Source organism: Homo sapiens, chromosome 6 (genome assembly GCF_000001405.40).
Source record: "Homo sapiens chromosome 6, GRCh38.p14 Primary Assembly".
In the NCBI taxonomy this organism is placed as follows: domain Eukaryota; kingdom Metazoa; phylum Chordata; class Mammalia; order Primates; family Hominidae; genus Homo; species Homo sapiens.
In genome coordinates, this window is record NC_000006.12 from 131500355 (window position 1) to 131507779 (window position 7425).

General features: G+C 40.7%; 1 annotated feature.

The window, feature by feature from the left end:
* Positions 3922-4587: an enhancer, noted in NCBI's record as "OCT4-NANOG-H3K27ac hESC enhancer chr6:131825416-131826081 (GRCh37/hg19 assembly coordinates)". NCBI's record gives its function as "activates a minimal SCP1, AML or CMV promoter by ChIP-STARR-seq in naive and primed H9 embryonic stem cells {active_cell/tissue: H9 hESC(naive and primed)}" and the evidence as "EXISTENCE:reporter gene assay evidence [ECO:0000049][PMID:30033119]".

Below are 7425 nucleotides of genomic sequence, written 5' to 3' on the forward strand. Positions count from 1 at the left end.
TGTTTTATATGTGAATATCCAGTTTTTCCAATATCATTTGTTGAAGAGACTATCCTTTCTGTACTGTGTATCTTCTTGGCACCTTTGTCCAAAATCAATTGACTGTAAATGTGTGAGTTGTTTCTAAGCTTTCTATACTATTTTATTGGTTAATGTGTCAGAATCATGCTGTCTTAATTACTATAGCTTTGTAATATATTTTTAAATTCTATAGTACGTTGTCTCTAGCTTTGCTCTTTTTAGTCAAGATTGTTTTGTCTATTTGGGGTCTTTTGTGGTTCCACGTGAATTTTAAGGGTTTTTAAAAATATTTCTATGAAGAATGACATGTTATTTTGATAGAGATTGCATTGAATCTGTAAATTTTGGGGGGGTCATATGGACATTTTAACAATATTAATTGTTCCAATCCGTGAACATGGGATATGTTTGCATTTATTTTCATCATCTTCTATTTTTTTCAATGTTTTATAGTTTTCACTACATATATTTTTCACATCCTTGATTAAATTTACTCCTAAATAATTTTTTGATGCTATTGTAAGTAAGTTTGCTTTCTTAATTTCTGTTTCAGAAAGGTTATCGTTACTGTAGAGAAATTTTACTAATTTTTGTAAGTTGATTTGTATCCAAGCCACTTAATGAGATGGGAAAGATTTTGGATAGGAATGGGTTTGGGGGTAAGAAGAGTTCACTTAGGAATGTCTGAAGTTTGAGATACCTATTAGATACAAAGTGGAAGTGTTATTAAGCTCTTGGATAAAAACCTGGTGTCGGAAGAGATACAGGCCAGATATAAAGTTTCAGAAGTCATCAATAAAGAGTTAATATTTAAAGTCATGAGATTGCATGAGATCATCAAAACGGTGTAGGAAGAAAAGAAAAAAGCTTTCATGACCTCTTGTATTGTTGAACCACCACTATTTCAGATGTGTCTGTAGTGAAGAAATGTTGAGGTTCTTATATTAGAACTTGTTGTAGTCTTTTTGACTGTGTCACAGGTGTGGTTGGTTAAGCCAAAGACCTGATCCAATTCATAAAATGAAATAAAATAGAAATGAGTGAAGAATAACCTAAATGTTAAAATAAAATCCCCAGTGGGACATTGTTATTTACTCACCAACATCCATTCCACCTCAACTAATTAATCTAAACTAACCATGATAATCCCATTCCCTTGTCAGTAAAGACTTAATGGTGGCCAGGCCCAGGACAATTTTGGTAAATGAAAAGCAAGAAGTTTGCCAAGGTCATAGGAGAATAGAGCTTTTAGAATCTTAGAGAAAACTATGGGAAGGACAGTGACATGGTTTGGCTGTGTCCCTACCCAAATCTCATCTTGAGCTGTAGTTCCCATAATCCCTACATGTCATGGGAAGGGCCTGGTAGGAAGTGACTGGATCATGGGGGCAGTTTCCCCCATGCTCTTCTTGTGATAGTGAGTGAGTCCTCTCAAGATCTGATGGTTTTATAAGCATCTGGCATTTCCTCTGCTGTCACTCCAAACTGCTGCCCTGTGAAGAAGGTGCCTGCTTCTCCTTTGCAATCCACCATGATTGTAAGATTCCTGAGGCCTCTCCAGTAGTGTGGAACTGTGAGTCAATTAAACTTCTTTCCTTCATAAATTACCCAGTCTCGATGTTTTTTCATAGCAGCGAGAGAATGGACTAATACAGGAAGCTATGTTTTTTGTCTTTCCCACTGGGTATAAACAAGCAAGTTTATATGGTTCTACTTCTATGTCTTACAAATATGAGTGTAACCAACCTTGGGATGAAACTGACCCTGTAGATGAACCAGGAGAGACCTGGGTCCCCAATGACATCATTGACTTGCAAAATTAACCAACACAGAAATCAATCCTACTATTGTGTGAGCTGATAAATGTCCTCATTTCTTAAGCCAATTTCAGTTATTTTTCCTGTTACTTGCAGCCAAAAGTAACTAATGAATGCATCATATGTACAGTAAAATATAAATCATCTCTAGCCTCTTTAAGGCTATAAAATGAATATTGGAGCTAAATTTATTTGGGGTAATTGCATTATTCATAGAAGTCTGTGATAGTTTTCCTAAAATAATTGGCTTTTGTTTGACATCAGAGCATATTTCATACATAATCAAATTAGGTTAATTTCAAAGGAAAAATCTCCATAATTTTTTAATAGCTTAATAACATCAAATAATGACAAGGAACAGGGAGTGAAGGACAGTACTTCCAAATGAAATAGATAATAAAGACTTGAGAGTAGAAAAAAAGTTACAGAGGCCAGGCATAGTGGCTCATGCCTATAGTCCCAGCACTTTGGGAGGCTGAGGTAGGCAGATCACTTGAGCCCAGGAGTTTGAGACCAGCCTGGGCAACATGGTGAAACCTAGACCCTACAAAAACACACAATGAAGTTAGTCAGGTGTGGTGGAGCATGCTTGTAGTCCCAGCTACTCGGGAGGCTGAGGTGGGAGGATCATCTGAACCCAGGAGGTCGAGGCTGTGGTGAGCTGAGATCGCGCCACTACACTCCAGCCTGGGTGGAAGAGTGAGACAGAAAAAGAGTGAGAAAGACAGAGAAAGAATGAGAAAAAGAAAAGGAAATGGGAAAAAAAAAGAGAAAAGACAAAGAAAATGGTTGTCAGAATCAGTTGAGGGACCTGTCAGTCCCTCATTGTCCCTGGACGCCTATTGTCTTTAGAGTCTATGCAATTCATTGGACACCTGGGATTACCTGTGGCCCAGCACATTTTAGTAATCAGCATTATAATTATAGAAAAACATGAGCTGCAAGAAGTAGCTGTAATACATATCTTGTTTTATTTTTCTAATATCCTCCGCTCTAGGTATAATCATATAACAAATGAGGAAACTGAGGGTCAAAGAAACCCAGTAACTTTCCAATGTTACCTCCTTGCCAGCACCAGTAAGTCCATATTTAGCAGTGAATCCTAATTATTTAGTCCCAAACCTAAATGGGCCTGGCACATTGGGGAACTCATTGGAGACTTATTGAGTGAATGACACAGTCCTCTTTAATTGTGACATTAGACTTCACAGTGCACAGCGTCAAATTTCAGTCCTTGGCCAATTTACTACATTATCATCTTCCCTAGATGATGATTGTTAGGACCTTTGAATAAAAATAATTGAATATTTCACCAAATAATCTCTTTTTATACTGACACTGACGTTGTGCCTAACAACCCTACATACTGTCACCATGAAAACACACTGTCCTTAGTCCCATTCAGACCATTAGACATACATTATAAATAGAATATTCAGCTTCATTTCATCCAAAGTTGCCTTAACTTTTTTTATAATAAAACCAGAGATACAAAAATATTAAGTTTTGTTTTAAAACTCATACTATGAGTTTTTTATTTAATTCATTCACACAGTCATGTGAGACCTCTTATGATTCTTTAGTATTTAAGAACGATTTTAATCCCTTAACAAGTACCAGAGCATCTACTATCTGGTAGGTGTTAAAATTAGGTGTCAGAAACACAAAGATAAGCAAAATCACCTTTCCTTCCCTCAGGACAATAACAATACAATAGCTGATATAGTTTTATATATATATATATATATATATATATATATATATATGAATCTATAAACTTAAGATTAGAGATAGTATGGTCACATAGCTTTACACTCATTTCCTCTAACACAACCAACTAGCAATGTCTCCTTACATTTGCATTTTGTTTTAGATTTTACTCTGAGAATTTCACAGTAAATGATAAATAACACTGAAGAGTTTATAACTCATCAAGTGACAAGCCAGCCAAATTAGGGGGAAAGAAAATGCAGTGTGTTAATTCCAATCAGTGGGTTGTCTTTGCTGTATTTCAAAATACATTTCGTAAAGAAACCTCTTCCTTTCTTTCATGAAATAAAATGTTTCTGGAAAGTTTTTTCAGAATAAAAGTCTACATTATTTAATTATATTACATATTCAGTATTAGTTATTTTCATGTGCGTCCGTGTGAAGAGACCACCAAACAGGCTTTGTGTGAGCAACATGGCTGTTTATTTCACCTGGGTGCAGGTGGGCTGAGTCCGAAAAGAGAGTCAGGGAAGGCAGATAAGGGTGGGGCCGTTTTATAGGATTTGGGTAGGTAAAGGAAAATTACAGTCAAAGGGGTTTTGTTCTCTGGCAGGCAGGAGTGGGGGTCACAAGGTGCTCAGCGGGGGTGCTTTCTGAGCCAGGATGAGCTAGGAAAAGGACTTTCACAAGGTAATGTCATCACTTAAGGCAAGGACCTTCCATCTACACTTCTTTTGTGGTGGAATGTCATCAGTTAAGGTGGGGCAGGGCATATTCACTTCTTTTGTGATTCTTCAGTTACTTCAGGCCATCTGGGCTTATACGTGCAAGTCACAGGGGATGCGATGGCTTGGCTTGGGCTCAGAGGCCTGACATTCCTGACTTCTTATATTAATAAGAAAAATAAAACAAAATAGTGTTGAAGTGTTGGGGTGGCGAAAATTTTGGGGGGAAGGTATGGAGAGAGAATGGGCGATGTTTCTCAGGGCTGCTTCAAGCAGGATTAGGGGCGGCGTGGGAACCTAGAGTGGGAGAGATTAAGCTGAAGGGAGGTCTTGTGGTAAGGGGTGATATTGTGGGGTTGTTAGAAGAAACATTTGTCGTGTAGAATGATTGGTGATGGCCTAGATACTGTTTTGGATGAATTGAGAAACTAAATGGAATAACAGAAGGAGATAAACAGGTATAAAAGGTCTAAGAATTGGGACGACTCAGGATATCTGATTAGAGAGTGCCTAAGGAGATTCAGCATAGTCCTACCAGCAAAGATTATTTATTTACTACAAGAGTTAAGAGTGGCAGTTTGGGGACAGCACCAGGAGATATCAGCTGTGATGGCTTGGAAAAAGTGTAAACTGGCAGTGTAAACAAGAGCAGGGCATGTATGAGTAGTTGAGAATGGTGAATAGGAGTATGACTAGACAGAAGATAGTAGGCATGACAAGTTTTTTGGGCACAGTCTAAGTTGGTCTGGTGTCTGGAATGAGACTGGGGCCTAATAAAAAGGAGCGTCTATACAGGAGCTTAAATGGGCTGTATCCTGTAGCATTCCGAGGACAGGCCTGAATTCTGAGAAGGGAAAGTGGTAAAAGTATTGTCCAGTCCTTTTTAAGTTGGTGGCTGAGCTTGGTGAGGTGTGTTTTTTAAAAGACCTTTAGTCTATTCTACTTTTCTTGACGACAGAGGACCGTAAGGGATATAAAGGTTTCACTGAATACTAAGAGCCTGAAAAACTGCTGGCTGATTTGACTAATAAAGGCTGGTCTGTTATCAGACTGTATTGAGGTGGGAAGGCTAAACTGAGGAATTATGTCTGACAGAATGGAAGAAATGACTGCGGTGGCCTTCTCAGACCCTGTAGGAAAGGCCTCTACCTATCCAGCGAAAGTGTCTACCTAGACTAAGAAGTATTTTAGTTATCTGACTTGGGGCATGTTGAGTAAAGCTAATTTTCCAGTCCTGGGTGGGAGCAAATCCTCGAGCTTGATGTGTAGGGAAGGGAGGGGGCCTGAATAATCCCTGAGGAGTAGTAGAATAGCAGATGGAACACTGAGAAGTTATTTCCTTGAGGATAGATTTCCACAATGGAAAGGAAATGAGAGGTTCTGAGAGGCGGGCTAGTGGCTTGTACTATAGCATAGCCTGCCTTTGCTGGTGTGTGGCGATTAGGCCTGGTGGAACCGCCATCAATAAATCAACCGTGATCAGGGTGAGGAACAGGAAAGAAGGAAATTTGGGGAAATGGGGTGAATGTCAGGTGGATCAGAGAGATACAGTCATGGGGGTCAGGTGTGGTATCCAGAATAATGTGAGAGGCCGGATTGAAGTCTGGGCCAGGAACAACGGTAATTGTGGGAGACTCAACAAAGAGTGAGTACAGCTGAAGGAGCCGGGAAGCAGAAAGTATATGGGTCAGGTATGAGGAAGAAAATAGGTTTTGGAAGTTATGAGAACTGTAGAGAGTGAGTTGAGCATAGTTTGTGATTTTTAGGGCCTCTAAAAGTATTAAAGCAGCGGCAGCTGCTGCACACAGACATGAGGGCTAGGCTAAAACAGTAAGGTCAAGTTGTTTGGACAGAAAGGCTACAGGGTGCGGTCCTGGCTCTTGTGTAAGAATTCTGACCGCACTAACCATGCCTAGGAAGGAAAAGAGTTGTTGTTTTGTAGAAGGTGCTTGGGTTTGAGAGATCAGTCCAACACAATTGGCAGGGAGAGCACATGTGTTTTTATGAGAATTATGCCGAGATAGGTAACAGATGAGGATGAAATTTGGGCTTGATTGAAGTAATGGGGGCTGTCTGTGAAGCTTTGCGGCAGTACAGCCTAGGTAATTTGCTGAGCTTGATGGGTGTCAGGGTCAGTCCAAGTGAGAGATCTCAATAATGGGTTGTAGAGGGAGGTACTGAGGATAGGAGAGTATATGGGTTTGGCACCACGGGGTGGATAGGCAAAACAATATGGTTGATAAGGCGCAGATCCTGAACTAACTTGTAAGGCTTGTCTGGTTTTAGGACAGGTAAAATGGGGGAATTGTAAGGAGAGTTTATAGGCTTTAAAAGGCCATGCTGTAGCAGGCGAGTGATAACAGGCTTTAATCTTTTTAAAGCGTGCTGCGGGATGGGATATTGGCGTTGAGTTGGGTAAGGGTGATTAGGTTTTAATGAGATGGTAACGGGTGCATGATCGGTCGCCAAGGAGGGAGTAGAGGTATCTTATACTTGTGAGTTAAGGTGGGGGGATACAAGAGGAGGACGCAAAGGAGGCTTTGGATTGGGAAGAAGGGCAGCAATGAGATGTAGCTGTAGTCCAGGAATAGTCAGGGAAGCAGATAATTTAGTTAAAGTGTCTCAGCCTAATAAGGGAACTGGGCAGGTGGGGATAACTAAAAAGGAGTGCTTAAAAGAGTATTGTCTAAGTTGGCACCAGAGTTGGGGAGTTTTAAGAGGTTTAGAAGTCTGGCCGTCAATACCCACAACAGTTATGGAGGCAAGGGAAACAGGCCCTTGAAAAGAAGGTAATGTGGAGTGGGTAGCCTCTGTATTGATTAAGAAGGGGATGGACTTACCTTCCACTGTGAGAGTTACCCGAAGCTCGGCGTCCGTGAGGGTCTAGGGGGCTTCCGAGGGGATCGGGCAGTCAGTCTTCAGCCGCTAAGCCCAGAAGATCTGGGAAGGAGTCAGTCAGAGAGCCTTGGGCCAGAGTTCCAGGGGCTCTGGGAGTGGCTGCCAGGTGAGTTGAACAGTCCGATTTTCAGTGGGGTCCCACACAGATGGGATGCAGCTTAGGAGGAATCCTGGATTGTGGGCATTCCTTGTCCTGGTGGCCAGATTTCCAGCACGTGTAGCAAGCTCCTGTGGGAGGAGGTTCTGGAGGAACA